The sequence below is a fragment of the Homo sapiens genome, chromosome 11 (genome assembly GCF_000001405.40).
Source record: "Homo sapiens chromosome 11, GRCh38.p14 Primary Assembly".
In the NCBI taxonomy this organism is placed as follows: Eukaryota; Metazoa; Chordata; class Mammalia; order Primates; family Hominidae; genus Homo; species Homo sapiens.
Window position 1 is genome coordinate 17,827,572 of NC_000011.10, and position 15,709 is coordinate 17,843,280.

The 15,709-nt window shown below is 43.9% G+C and overlaps 1 protein-coding gene across 3 annotated transcripts in view, besides 1 other annotated feature; it reads right to left on the reverse strand.

Moving 5' to 3' along the window:
* The window catches only part of SERGEF (secretion regulating guanine nucleotide exchange factor), a 225,000-nt gene that overhangs the window by 39,524 nt on the left and 169,767 nt on the right, over window positions 1-15,709 (reverse strand). The window lies entirely within an intron of this gene.
* Window positions 5,653-6,153: an enhancer, noted in NCBI's record as "H3K27ac hESC enhancer chr11:17854771-17855271 (GRCh37/hg19 assembly coordinates)". NCBI's record gives its function as "activates a minimal SCP1, AML or CMV promoter by ChIP-STARR-seq in primed H9 embryonic stem cells {active_cell/tissue: H9 hESC(primed)}" and the evidence as "EXISTENCE:reporter gene assay evidence [ECO:0000049][PMID:30033119]".

The following is a 15,709-nucleotide window of genomic DNA, read 5'->3' on the forward strand; positions in this document are numbered from 1 at the left end:
AATCTCCTACTTGCCTTGGGTGCCCTCAGAAATCCCTCGGCATCACCTCCTACTCTTCAGTTACCTCTCGCCGCATCACTGAATCTTGCCCTCCAGAAAAACAGATTTGGGAAATGATCCTCAGGTCTAACTCAGTATCACGAACTTCCAGATAACAAAGGTATTAGGCCAGAGTGAAAGGATGAGTGGCAAGGAAATGGGTTTTCTGCAATGCTGGCTATTGATCAGAGACTCCTAGACACTGAATCTGTATTTTTCCCCACTGGATAAAGATGTAGACTTGCTGACCATTAGTTTGCTTCAAAAAGTGGAAGAGCTTTTTGTATAAGAAATGTTTGTGAACATTCTCTTAAAGGAAAACATAGCAGCACTAAGTTCTTCAAGAATGATGAGACAAGCCTTGAGTGAAAAAGGCCTGTGATGCAGCAAGAAGGGGCTGATTCCTGGATGCAACAGAACTCTATTCTGCATGGATGGTGTTACCTGCAGCTGCAAGTTCCACTAGGGAGCTAGGGGCTAGTGAAGGCGGAGTTGAGATACCCCGTATCTACTGTGTGCTGCCTGGACTCCTCACTCTCAAAACGTGTCTGTATCCTTGAGTGAGTAAGTCGGGAAGTTGATGTAATCTTACATGCGTGTGTGTTACAGGTATGAGTGTGTGTTTGTGGCCTCTTTCTACCAATCCACAGATTCTCACTGCATTTCCTCCAGCTTCCTTCAAGAATTTTCTCTTTAAGCTTGTAAGCCGGTACGCATTCATGTGAGCTCCACAGATGGCCTGCACCGGCAGCAGGAGTCTTTCCGAGAAGAGCCTTGGAATAGTGAGCAGAGCTGTGGCTGACCAGCCCTGCCGTGTGGATCCAGCTGGAGTCAGCTGGGCTCTACTCCACACAGCGCACGGCTGTCGCCTGCTCACTTCAAGTGGAGGATCTGGCACTTATTTTAGGTCCTTATAAATAATACATTTTGTCATCTTGATTCTTCAAGGCCTTCTTTTAAGCTATTTTTTCCTCTTTGGGAAAACCGCTTTTACTCTACAAGACAGAGTTGTTCATAAATCAAGAGGAGTTCCTGGTGGCCAAAGCCTAAGTTCCTGACTCCAGAAGAAGTGGGCAGCCACCCAACCTGATTAGTCAAAGCCTCATACCAGAAGAGAATCTTATTTTAAGGATGAAAAGAAATGTCCAACATCTGATTCCTTCACCTCCAACCCAGAAAGTCCTAGTGCCTGAGCTTTAAATACGACATTCAACCCCTGCTTCCCCGAGAGTCCCTACAGGCTCATCAAGGTCAGGAAAATACTGAGGGTTCTTACCATCCGTAAAATGGGAACAAGGCTTCCTGTGTATAATTGTCCAAGTGTCTGGCATAAAGTCAGGGTTCAGCCTGTGAGCTCCCCGTTAACTCTTCTAGTCCCTTGCAACTCCCAAGAAGATACATTTATACTTTGAAAAATTGTTACTTTCTTCCTTCTTCACAACCATGAATCAATCACAGAGGAAGTGTTTTCCAGTTAATATGGCACAAAGAAACCTAGTAGGACAGTGACAAAGTGCTGAACTGGAATCAGATAGACCAGGGCTTGAGGCCTGGCTCTGCTACTTGTTACGTGACCTTGGGTAAGTTCCCTAATCTCTCCAGACTTCAATGTCCTAATCAATAAATCGGACAAACCACTAACTTTATAGTCTCTTGCAAACTTTATTGTGCATAAAAATTACCAGGGAATACTGCTAAAGTGCAGATTCCGATTCAGCAGGTCTTAGGTAGTACCTGAGGTTCTCCATTTCTAATTAGCGTCTCCCTCCCTGCCTCTGGTTTGTGGACCACCTTTTGACCAGAAAAGAAGAACATGAACAGTCAAGACATGTTGTAAGTTGTAAAGGGCTATGCCACTTTAAAGTCTGATTCATTAACCATTATCGTTTTACCTTAAAACACAAAGAAGACCATGAATTAACCCTTGATTCTTTATGGGTAAGCAAAATAGTGATTATTTATCTAGTAAAATAACAGGAGCTGGGGTAAACCAGTTGTCACCAATCCTCTCCCCACACCACCCAAAAAAAAATCCAACAACTACTAACCAACAAACTGCAACACTCCTCCTATCAGCTGTGAAAAAGTAAACCTACAAACAAAATCCCTAATAGAGCTTAAAACTATTTCAGATGAAAACTTTTAGGGGTGACAATGTAAACTACCCTGATCCTCAAAAAAGCATTGTTTTAAGACCAAGTGTTTATGACTAAACCTAAGTGTTGGTTTTGAGTATAAAAGCAGATTTGGGTAGGTTGAAAAAGAAAACAAAAAACACATAAACATTGAGTTCCTGAGATTAGTTTGATGGAGGAGGAGAGGAAATTGATGACAGAATTTAATGGAATGGAAGAAGGAAGCCAGTGACAAGGACTGTAAAAAGGGCTTTCCTCCTTCTTGGAACAATCCTATACTCCAAGGCCAACTCCTTGGTGACACCTTTCCTGACAGGCTCAGATAGAGGTGATTTCTGCTCTGGTTGCCAAAGCACTAATACCCACCTCTCTACCCATCCTGGGGCCAGTGCTTATCACACTGTATTGAACACTCACATTGATCTCCAATCCCTTAAGGTCAAGGACCACATCCTATTTATATTCTCAGCCTGGCATAGTGCCCTGGCACATATTAGGCACTCAGTGAATAATGCTGATTGAATGCATGAAGTAGGGGATGTTGAAGAAAAAGTTAATGACCTTTCTTCAGGGTTTGCCTTTCCTGGAGCTATTCATTCATATATTCACTCACTTGGTGTCTTAGTACATTTTGTGCTGCTATAACAGAATAGCACAGACTGGATAATTTATAAATAATAGACGTTTATTGGTTTATAGTTCTGGAGGCTGAGATGTCTAATATCAAAGTGCCAGCATCTGGTGAGGGCCTTCCTGATGCATCGTAACATGGTAGATGGCAAGAGAGTGAGAGAGAGGAAGAGAGAGGGAGAGAGAGAGGAAGAGAGGGAGAGAGATGGGGAGAGGGAGAGAGGTGGAGAGAGAGAGAGAGAGAGAGAGAGGGAAAGGGGGAGGGAGAGGGAGGGAGAGAGAGAGAGAGAGAGAGAGAGAGAGAGAGAGAGAGCACATGTACATGCAAGAGTAAGTCAGGATGAACCGACTCCCTCCATAACAGCATTAGTCCATTCATAAGGGCAGACCTAAACACCTCTTACACGTCCCACCTCTTAATGCTGTTATAATGACCAAGTTTTAACATGAATTTTGGAGGGGACAAACATTCAAACCGTATCACTTAGTAAGCATACATTTTCTAAGTGTGAGTACTCAGACCATTTACTGGTTTTCAGTGTATTTCAGTCTAAGAAATATTTCAAATTTTCTTTATCTCAAGACTGTAAACTTAATAATATGTGATAAGTAAATATGTATAAACTTTTAGCATCTTCCCAAAGTACTTTTCTATTTTCACGGTAAACTGAATATATAATTTTCCTATTTTAAAACAAGGAAACTGAGGTCCAGGAAAAAAAACTATCTAAGGCAGAATCAAACTTTAGGTAAATAAAAATCACTTGGTGCACTTGTCAAAACTACAAGTTCCTGTCACCTACCTCCAGAGATTCTGATTCAGCAGGATGAGATAGAGCCCAGAAACCCACATTTTAATATTCCCCAGGTGATTCTGATGCAAGTGGTCTACAGACCTGGGGCAAGACCCCTACACAATTAAAGTCCAGTCCAGCACTCTCCTTCAGGCTGGGTGCCTGGCCTATTCTGGAGGTCAGCACGGGTTGCAGGTTGTCTCAGGGCTTTGGTTTCAAACCTAGAGTCACAGGATGGGAGGCAAGTCACATGTATGGCACTTTCATGGGGCCTGGTGGCAAAGCCAAAACCAGGGACACACTCAGACAATGAGGGCAGTTCCAAGAGCCCATGAGTAAAATCATGAAGCCAGAATAGTAGCTGGCAAATGGATCCCATTTCTGAGGACTTAAGAGCTGGAAGGCCAGGTTCTGGAAAAGAATTAGGCCTTCTAGGGAAGAGGAACAACAACAACAATTGCAAAGAGGCTCATTTGGGGAAATACTGGAAGTGTTTGATGTATTTATCTTGGCTCTATACCCTTTCTTTTCCACTTTGAGATAGCCTACCAAATGGACAATTCAGTAAAGAACAATAACTGAAGACAGGGTAAGTTTCCCTCTTGTCTGTCTTCCACATCCAAGTCCTGCTGACTGGACCTCTATGTTCTCTCCCATCAGCCCCTTCTTCATCAGCCCACTTCCAAAGCCCTAATTAAAGACCTTGTGCATTACCTTTCATCTGAACTGTAAAAACATCTCAAGGCTCTCCCTGACTCTTGCCTCTCCTTCAAACTACCTCCCCTAGAAAGCCTCATTAATCTCCCCAGAGCATAGGTTTCATCACAGAGTGTAAAAAGTCCACTATATCTGAAGCTAGAAGATCTGGTTCTGGCCCCAGCTCCAGCACCATCATTAACTAGTTGTCTGACCTTGGGTTAGCAACTTCCCCTTTTGGGATTCTGTCATTATGTGTGAGATGGCGATATGGTTTGGCTGTGTCCCCATCCAACTCTCATCTTGAATTCCCATACGTTGTGGGAGGGACCTGGTGGGAGGTAACTGAATCATGGGGGCAAATCATTCTCGTGCTGTTGTCATGATAGTCAATAAGTCTCATGAGATCTGATGGTTTTAAAAAGAGGCATTCCCCTGCACAAGCTCTCTCATTTTTTGCCTGCAACCATGCACATAACATGTGAGTTGCTCATCCTTGCCTTCCGCCATGATTGTGAGGCCTCCCCAGCCACGTGGAACTGTAAGTCCAATTTAACCTCTTTCTTTGGTAAACTGCTCAGTTTCAGGTATGTGTTTATTAGCAGTGTGAAAATGGACTAATACAGTAAACTGGTACCAGTAGAGTGGGCTGCTGCTGAAGATACCCGAAAAAGTGGAAGTGACTTTGGAACTGGGTATCAGGCAGAGGTTGGAACAGTTTGGAGGGCTCAGAAGAAGACAGGAAAATGTGGGGAAAGTTTGGAACTCCCTAGAGACTTCTTGGAGACTTGCTGGATGGCTATGATCAAAATGCTGATAATGATATGGACATGAAATCCAGGCTGAGGTGGTCTCAGATGGAGATGAAGAATTTGTTGGGAACTGGAGCAAAAGTGACTCTTGTTATGTTTTAACAAAGAGATTGGCGGTATTTTGTCCCTGCCCTAGAGATTTGTGAAACTTTGGAAAGAGATGATTTAGGGTATCTGGCGGAAGAAATTTCTAAGCAGCAAACATTCAAGAGGTGACTTGGGTGTTGTTAAAATCATTCAGCTTTATAAGGGAAGCCAAGCACAAAAGTTTGGAAAACACCTGACATTTTCCAGCCTGACAATGCACTACAAAAGAAAATCTCATTTTCTGAGGAGAAATTCAAGCCAGCTGCAGAAATTTGCATAAGTAACGAGGAGCCAAATGTTAATCCCCAAGACAAGGGGGAAAAATGTCTCCAGGGCATGTCAGAGCAGCCCCTTCCATCATAGGCCAGAAGGTCTAGGAGGAAAATATTATTTTGTGGGCTGGGAGCAGGGTCCCTGTGCTGTGTGCAGCCTAGGGACTTGGTGCTCTTTGTCAGCACTGGCTGAAAGGGGCCAACGTAGAGCTTGGGCCGTGGCTTCAGAGGGTGCGAACCTCAAACCTTGGCAGCTTCCACATGGTGTTGAGCTTGCAAGTGCACAGAAGTCAAGAACTGGGGTTTGGGAACCTTCGTCTAGATTTCAGAAGTGTATAGAAAAGCCTGGATGCCCAGGCAGAAGTTTGCTGTAGGGGTGGGGTCCTCATAGAGCACCTCTGCTAGGGCAGTGCAGAAGGAAAATGTGGGGTGGGATTCCCCACACAGAGTCCCTACTGGGGCACTGCCTAGTAGAGCTGTGAGAAGACGGCCACCATCCTCCAGAACCCAGAATGGTGGATCCAATGACAGCTTGCACTGTGTGCTTGGAAAAGCTGCAGACACTCAACCCCAGCCCGTGAAAATAACCAAGAGGGAGGCGGTACCCTGCAAATCCACAGGGGTGGAGCTGCTCAGGACTATGGGAACCTACCTCTTGCATCAAGTGACCTGGATGTGAGACACAGTGTCAAAGGAGATCATTTTGGAGCTTTAAGATTTGACTGCCCCGCTGGATTCTGGACTTGCATGGGGCCTGTAGCCCTTTGTTTTGGCCAATTTCTCCCATTTGGAATGACTGTATTTACCCAATGCCTGTAACCCCATGGTATCCAGGAAGTAACTAATTTGCTTTAGATTTTACAGACTCATAGGCAGAAGGGACTTGCCTGGTCTCGGATGAGACTCTGGACTGTGGACTTCTGAGTTAATGCTAAAATGAGTTAAGACTTTGGGGGACTGTTGGGAAGGCATGATTGGTTTTGAAATGTGAGGACACATGAGATTTGGGAGGGGCCAGGGTGAAATGATATGGTTTAGCTCCGTGTCCCCATCCAAATCTCATCTTGAATTCCCACGTGTTGTGACAAGGACCTGGTGGGAGGTAATTGAATCAGGGGGGCAAGTCTTTCCCATGCTGTTCTCATGATAGTGAATAAGTCCCATAAGATCTGATGGTTTTAAAAAGAGGTGTTCCCCTGCACAAGCTCTCTCATTTTTTTGCCTGTCTACCACCCACGTAAGATGTGAGGTGCTCCTCCTTGCCTTCCATCATGATTGTGAGGCTTCCTCAGTCACATGAAACTGTTAAGTCCAACTAAACCTCCTTCTTGTGTAAATTGCTCAGTCTCGGGTATATCTTTATCAGCAGCATGAAAACGTACTAATACAGATGGAGGCTGAACTAGGTTATATCCAAAATCCTTTCCAACTCTAGGATTTTTCCAACTCACACCTGCTTAAAAACTTATTAAACTTATTAAGTTTTTAAGCAGGCATCTTTTTGCCCATAGAATTAAATATATAAATGCTTTACCCTGGAACATCTGAGGAGGAGGCCCTCTGTGATGATCTGATCCTAACCTTTTCTAAGCCTGTTCCCCTTAGCCAAACTGAAGTATTCCTACTTTCCTAAACAAGCCTGAAGTTTTTTGCTTCCTCAATACTTTGGTCATTATTTTATTTTAGAAATCCTACTACACCTATTTCAATGTGTACTATTCCTACCTTTTTGAGGTCCAAATCACATGGATCTCTTTTACGTTTTTCTCTTTGTGCCCATAGGCTAAAATCAAACTTTTTCTGCTCTGATCCCTCTAGTACTTCTCTCAGCTGGTATTTCGGTTCCCCTCGGCCTGGTTCACACATCTTTTGTCAGCTCCTTGAGAGCATAGCCTGTGTGTGTCTCCTACCCACTTAGCACAGGGCCTTGCACAGAGAATCACTTAACAAATAATTGTTGGATAAATGTTGGGAAAGTGGATGATCCCATTTTAGCTAGGTCCTGAATTTCAGTGGCAGCCAAGGCAGAGAAGAGCACACATTGGACAAATATTATTAATAGTTTCCAGTCTTATAAAACAAGAAATACAAATTCCTGTTACAGTGAACAACTTTTTCTGGAAATCAACTCCAAGGATACAAGCCACAAAAAGATGCTACCAAGCTTGGCAGTGTAGTATGTGCACACTGTTCATTAAGGCCTAAGATGATTTTCGTTGCCAATACCGGTTTGGGCTGAGGTGCTCAACTTGATGGCTGAGGATGACTGTAAGCTCCAGGCAGTTGCATGGCACAGAGCACAATCCACAGAGCACATCCTCATAGCCACAATAGCTCCGTCTAAATTCTGAGCCCTAGGGTGGTGGTAAGAGGCAGACTTCCTACATATATGGTGTACTTGGAAGGGATTTCCTCCTCCGACACTCCTACCCCTGGATCTGGACTGTCTCTGCTTATTCTCTGTCCATCTGGGTCAGAGTCAAGCATGTATATGTTATATCTCCCTAACTACACCATCAATTCCTGCCTGGAAGGACCTGTATCTTATTCATTTTCCTATCTCCCTCATGCCTAGCACAAAACCTTGCTCATAGCAGATGTCAATAAATGTTCTCTGGATGGATGCTCAAATTTGGATCAAATTGACTCAAATCCCAATTAAAATCCCCAGTCAGGAAGACAAGATTTAATTTATTTTTTTCCTACAAAAAGGACAATCTTGCTGTTTAATATAACTTAATACATTTTCTTCACAACTCTGAGACAGATGCAGGTTCTGTTTTTAGACGGCATATCTGAAATGTTGTAAAGTAGTGCTGGTTTTGATATTTTATTCTGATTAAATTTGAGGCATATTAGAATTATAAATGATAACTGGGCTTGCTCTGAACTATTCATCATCCTACAATCCTAGGGTGTGAAAGGCCTTAGAGAACAACCAGGTGGTTGTATAGCTGAGAGAATGAAAATTTAAGAGCTGGAATTAGAACCCAGGTTGGATGGTTGACTGGTTAGGTAGAGAGTTGATTAGTTTCTTTTCCTTGTTATTTATTCAGCAAACATCACTGAGCACATACCATGTGCCAAGTTTTGTGCTGGATTCTAGGGATACAGAGCTGGCAAAGACAATCACAGCCACCAGTGAGGTTACAGACTAATAGCTACTTCCTGATTCCTTAGCCCAGCACATTTTATCCTCTTCAAAAGAGCTAGACTTTCTGTTCAGAAGAGCTTCCTGGAGAAAAGGACCAATGTCCATTGGGCAAGAAGGCCTTGCATTTACTGGATCACTACAGGTATATGGGCCAAGGGCATCCACTCAAGGTCTACTGGACTGGGCTTACTTGAAAGCCTCATACTTTCATGCCTCCTTCATGAGAATATTTCTGAGGCTGCATCCAGACTCAGTAGAAAATGGGGATTTGATTGGTTAGTATTCAATAGAACAGCTATTTTCTTTCCATCAACTAGACTATAGCTTTAAGACCTCTATTGGTTCCTGATGCCTAAAGGATTAAGTCCAGTACCCTCAACATGCCACACAAAGACCTTCATGGTACAACCAATAATGTAACACATCAGTGCATATCTCCTAAACACACTGTCTTGTTTTCTGTTTCTTGAATATACTCCTTTCCTTAAGGATTCTGGGCCTTTTCAAGTGTTATTCCCTTTTCTGGAATGCTCTCTTGCCTAATCCCCTTCTGAGGTGCAGTTTCTCTATGAAACTTTCCCTTACTTCCCCTATGAAAAGTAAGTCCCGTCCTTCGAAGTTCCCACCTTCCCTGGACTCTTCTTTGCCATTATACCACTCACTGAGATTCACCTATCTACAAGTTTACCTCTCCAGAGACAAGGGGAGTCCAAAAGAACAGAGCCCTATCTTATTCACCACCAGCAGAACACCAGCCACAGATAAAGTACTTGCTAAAAGACTGCTGAATGAATGAATCATTCAGAAATAGCTCCCCTTTTCACTTCTCCAAGCTATCTTTTAGAGGTATAAGAACTAGCCGCTATCTATAGTCCCTCAAATTTATGGAGGTACATCCTGGCAGTCAGGTCTATTACCTCTGACGTCCACCCACTGCCAGGTAATACCCTTCTCTTCTTCCTTACCACACCCCACACCCCCATCCCCAAGTTTAGGAGCTGAAACTAGCTATTAATTTGATCTATACTAATTGAGTACTACAGCACTTACTATTTTGTCTAACACAGGGTCTGGCTGAGTAAGTGATAAATAAATGAATATTTATTGAAAGCCAAATGAATGAGTTCCCCTAAACCTCATGTTGAAATTTGATCCCAATATTGGAGGTACAGGCCTGAAGTGTGATGTTTGGGTAAAGGGGGACAGATCCCTAACGAATAGTTGGATGCCCTCTGTGGGGAGTGAGTTGTCACTCTATTAGTTCCTGGGAGAGCTACTTGTTAAAAAGAGCCTGGCACCTCCCCTCTCTCTTGCTTCCTGTCTCACCATGTGATCTCTGCATATGTTGGCTCCCCTTTGTCTTCTGTCATGAGTGGAAGCAGCCTGAGGCCCTCACCATAAACCAAGCAGAAGCCGGCGCCATGCTTCTTATACAGCCTGCAGAACTATAAGCCAAGTAAACCTCTTTCTTTTTTTTTTTTTTTTTGAGACAGAGTCTTGCTCTGTCGCCCAAGCTGGAGTACAGTGTGGCACTGTCTTGGCTCACAGCAACCTCTGCTTCCCGGGTTCAAGCGGTTCTCCTGCCTCAGCCTCCTGAGTATCTGGGATCACAGGTGTGTGCTGCCACCACGCCCGGCTAATTTTTGTATTTTTAATAGAGATGGGGGGGTTTCACTATGTTGGTCAGGCTGGTCTTGAACTCGTGACCTTGTGATTCACCCGCCTCGGCCTCCCAAAGTGCTGGGATTACAGGCGTGAGCCACCGTGCCTGGCCAATAAACCTCTTTTCTTTATAAATTACCCAGTCTTAGGTATTCCTTGATACAATCACCAAATAGACGAAGATAGTAACCTTCAGGGCATGCACAACACTAGAAGTCAGAAGACCTGGGTGCCATATGTGGCCTCTCATGAAGCACAACATAACAACACGAAAGAGTCCAGGTAAAATGTCAAAGTAAGGGAAGCAACCTGTTTTTGCCTTAGAGAAAGCTAGGAAAGAAGAAAGCCCTGTGGCTAGAGAGGCCAGGGTAGGCTTTAGCGGTCCAGAACACAGCCCTGGGGCAAATGTCAGGGGTGCAGCATGCCAGGGAAGGATGATGTTTCCTGAACTGGCATAAAACTAAACAGGCGGTATCTGACAGAGAGACTTGAAGTGGCCTCTGGGCAGTAGGGAAGAGTGTGATAGAGAGAGCTATGGAGAGGACTTAAGCATGACCTTAGCTTCCAAATGTATTTAGTGGGGTGCAGTAGAAAGACCACTAGATTAGAAGTCAGAGGAGGAACTAGGGAAAGGAAACAAGTATTGACTGAGCACCTCCTCTATTCCAGGCTCTGTGCTGGGCAGTTTACACACATTATCTCATTCAGCCCTTATCATCACCCTCCCAGGGAGATATTAATATTCTTATTTTATAGAGAAACTGGGGCTCAGACAGGGAAAGCTACTTTAGCACTCTGAATTTCAGGATGCTTATCTGTAAAACCGATAATAATAAAACCCCTCTCACAGGTCTAGTGTGAGAATGAAAACGAGATACGGTGTAGAGCACCTACTACCATGCCAGGTGCTTTGTAAATTCTACTCTAATTATTAATATCAATAACTACTTATAATAACTAGCTTGCACAAGGTCATACAGCTCATGAGTGCCATTGGTGGGATGTAAATGCTGGATGGTGTTTACATTATGTCAGGCTGCCCCTTAGAAGACCAGGATTTGAAAAACAGCCCTGCCAATAATTAGTTGGGTGACCTAAGACAAACTATTGCACCTTGCAGAGCCATGTTCTCTTAATCTGAATAAAAGGGCCAAGAACCCTGCCCTACAGAGCCCACAGGGAGGCTAGGCAGATAAAATAACTGGTAAATACAGAGCTTTATTGTGTACACAGATGGAACCGTGATGACTATGATGGATACCCTGAACAGGGACAAATGTCTTCAAGTTGGAGTGGTTCAGGTATGCTAGATGGTGACATATGAAGCCAGAATTTTGCCTTGGGTGTCAAGGATTTTGCAGGCAGCAAGCAGCCTCTAGTTTACAATGACTATGCTTGCCCCAACAAAAACCTAGTCTGTATCCTCTTAATGCTCCCCATGAAAATAAAAACATTGTGAACCTCCTAAGACACCATCAGAGACACACTTTAGGATTTTATCCAACACATTAGAAAAATAATTCCTCATAAAATCGGCTTTAGTAAAGAGTTGGCATGGGAAAGGGACACAGTCAGAATTCTTCCAGGGGTCAGATTGCAAGAAACATGCCACTCTCAGCACCTGAAAGGATTTCTCTGTAACGAAGACTGAGTTCTTTGGGGAAACTTAAGATGGGTGGGCTGTTTGCTGAGCTGGTGTCAGTCCTCAGGCAGAAAAAGGACAGCGTGTCCCAGCCTACCCCAGGCTGCCAGTGAGCTGACACATGCCCTGAATTTGTGTTCTGTGGAGCAATGAATGTTCTCCCTGTGCAGAGCATGCAAACTCAAGCCATGTGCACACCATCCACGCGCACATGCCACAGGGCTGCCAGCTGATCAGAGGCTCCGAAGCCTTCTCCCCACCTCACATCCTGAGGTGTTGGCTCCTGGACTTAACTCATTTGACCCTCACACACAAAACTCTGCAAGGTATTATAAACCTAATTTTATAGACTAGAAGAGGGAGGTTCAGAGAGCCACCTGCCTAATTTACATAGCTAGAAGAGGTGGAGCTGAGATTTAGCCTAGGTCCTTCTGACTTCAAGGACACATCTGTCCTTGGCAGATTTGCCTAAGGCAGACTTACTTTTCAAGACAGAAAGCAAAGCCAAGAATCAGAGAATCTTAAAGCTGCGATTCTCAGTCCACCATGGGAAGCAGTCCCTCTGTCCCACCTGACATGTGGTCACCTGGCCTCTGCAGGAACATCTGCCCTGACAGGGGCTCACCATCTGCTCCAGTTATAAGAAGTTCTTTGTTCCACTGACATAGAGAATGCCAGCTTCCCCTGAGTGCCTAAACTGGCATAAATATTTCATCACTCACTGCACTGTATTTTAGATACACTACAGGATATTTTAAAGGATACCAGCTCCCTTTTGTGATGGTAATCGCGGTTCCAAATTCATGTGGCTTGTGAGTTTAGATTTTCACAAGGCAAATGTTCTTAAAGCATGTATCTATTTCACATGGGTATTCACAGATCCTATCACATGGTGCCAGGGCTGGATGAGTCACACCTCTGCCCACCACCCCCTTCCTGCCCGCCAGTCCAGCTCTCCTCTGCTGTTCTACAGAAGGACACGAAACCTCCTCTGACACTTCTCTCACCCTCACCTGCTAACCTGGACACAAAGAGTTGCTTTCAGGCAACAAACCAGAACACATAGCAGTGGTAAGGTGGGGTGGCTCAGAGTGCCCAGCTGAGCCCTGTTCAAAGTGGAGAACTGATGTAGTTACTGTCTAGGGAGACTGCAGAAGAGAGGCCCCCAAAGACAGATTGAAGAGTTGCAGCTGCAGAAGAAGCCCCTGACAAGCCAACCCCCTGAACTCAAGGACAGGTTCCCTTGATGAAAAGTCAGCAGCTCAGCATCCTAGAGATTTAGTATTCTCTAAAATCACAAGAACAGCAAAGCCAGATGGGTTCTGGGGCTGTCGCTTCTGAAGTACCACGGGTCCTTTCTGACTTGACATTGTGTCTACCATATAGTAGATATATATTAATAGCAAATATCTTAATAAATAAAAGCACACATGTCAAACACAAATATCTCAATCACAGATTTGGAAAAACATCTCAAACAACATGCATCAATATCTAAATTGTTTCCCCTAAAGCAGCAGAGTCTCTCCCCAGACTGTTCCTGTTCCTTCTTAGGCTGAATTCTCCCTTTTCAGGATACTCTGGTAAGGAAATAGAACCACAAGGGTGGGAAGCAAACCATGAGTCCTCAGGCCAGCTACCAAACAAGGCTGACCCCCAGAGAGGCTGGATCTGGGTCACATTTCTCGGGGCATCCTAAGGCCATTGTGGCCTACCCTTGGTGGCCATGGGCATGGAATATCCATACCCAGATGTCTAAAAGGCACCTCTAGTGCAGTGTGTTCAAATTCAGATCAGATCTTCCTCTCCAAACCTGTTCACCTTCTACTGTTTATTTTTAGCTTAGCGAATGGCAGGGCCATTCCCACTTATGCACCCAGAAACCTGGGGCTTATGCTTCACATCTTTCTTTTCCTCACAGCTACATTCAATCCATCATCAAGTCCTGCTAATTTTACCTGCTAAATATCTCAAACCATGTTGTCCTTCTTATCTCCACTGTTACTTCTCTCACTCTATCCAGCATGATTTCTTACTGGGACCATTGCAAAAGCTCCTTAACTGGTTTTGCCACATCCACTTTTGCACCCTCCATCAATTCTCAAGGCCATTGTTGGAAAGATCTCTTGTAAATGTCAAATTGAGCATAATGCCCTCCCCATGAGTAACATACACATAACCACCTCTGCTTCAAATCCTTCTATGATTACTATGAGCTTAGAATAAAAAGAAAAGAAACTCTTCACATGGCCTGCAAGAACCTAATCTCCCCCTCCAGCCTTTTCTCTGTACTCAAATCATATTGACCTTCTCACTTCTTTGAAAGCGCTAAGCTGCCTCTCACCATGGGGGCCATATTTGTCCATATGCCTAGAAAGCTTTCTCTCCACCCTACCCACTCCTTTCATCTAATTATAACTCCTAGTGATCCTTCAGATCTCAGCTCAGATGTCAATTCCTCAGCAAAGCTATCCTTGATCATGTGAAGTAAGTGAGGACCCCTATCATACATTCTCATAGTACCTTGTCCCTTTCTTTCGTAGCATTTATCCTAGTCTGTAATTTTGCATGACTGGTGCAATTTTTTTTTTTTAACAGTGTCTGAGTCCTTCCATAAGACTTAAGCTCCTTGAGGGTGAGGGATCATGTCTGTTTTATCATCATAGTATCTCCAGCTTTTAGCATAAGGCCTGAAACATAGTAGATAGTCAATAAAAATCTGCTGAATGAATAATACACCGCAGCTATTCACTGAGTTTATTCCAAGCAATCATAACAGGTCCCTTTCTAATAGTATTTCTGAGGTTCTCTTGAGTCTGGATTAGACTAACAGAAACTGTTGATATTTTTGCCACCTCTCCTTATCTCTCTGGTATCCACTACAGTGAAACACCTTCTATAGATGAAGACACCACAGCATTGCCATCATTACCACAGTTACATTTATTGAGGATTTACTTACCATGCATTAGGCGTGGTACCAAGACCATGCATCCGGTATTCAGTTAATCCTTTCAGTACTATGAGGTATACATTACTAGCCCTTTTTTGCTAATAAGAAACAGAAACTCAGAGAGGATTTGCTAAAATATGGTGGGGCCAGGATTTGAACCTTGGTCAAACTTGAAAGTCTACAGTCTTAATCATAACCTACTGCCCTATAAAATGAGCTAATAATAACCACTCATAGTGATGTCAAAGGACTGAAGCACAGTAGGCACTCAGTAAAGGGTGGCTGTTATTTCTGTGGTGCTGGAGGCATTGTGGGGAGTGATAAGCACTTACCATTTTGCCCAGAAGAGAACTAATCTGGCTGCCTTCTAGGACTGAAACAGCTGGACTTGGTTTGAAAGAGAGACTTTTATGAAAAGCAGCATGCTGTGGCAGTTCCAACACAGAGTGTGTGAAGAGAGGAGCTGATATGCTAACGAAACCAACGCACAGATTTTTAGCCCTGAGAACCAACCATATGAAATGAACTTGAGTTTCTCACAGCAAGCCCAGACATCAAGCCTGCATAAGGATCCCCAACCTATAATAGTTCCTTGAATTTCTTTTGTTACTTGTCTATCTCCTGTAGCTCACAGAAACAGAGAGAACAGGCCACACTTAAAGTCAGGAGATTCTAAGTCTGAATTCTGATATGCCCAGGGTTGAGCAAGTGGGGATCCACCAAGATGCCTGGGCCTCAGTGAGAACCTCAGTGTCACAGGAAGCCAGGAGATGACAATGAACTATATTGTCATCCTCTGCGGCCTGGCTTGGGGTTGATCTATTCTTCTGAGT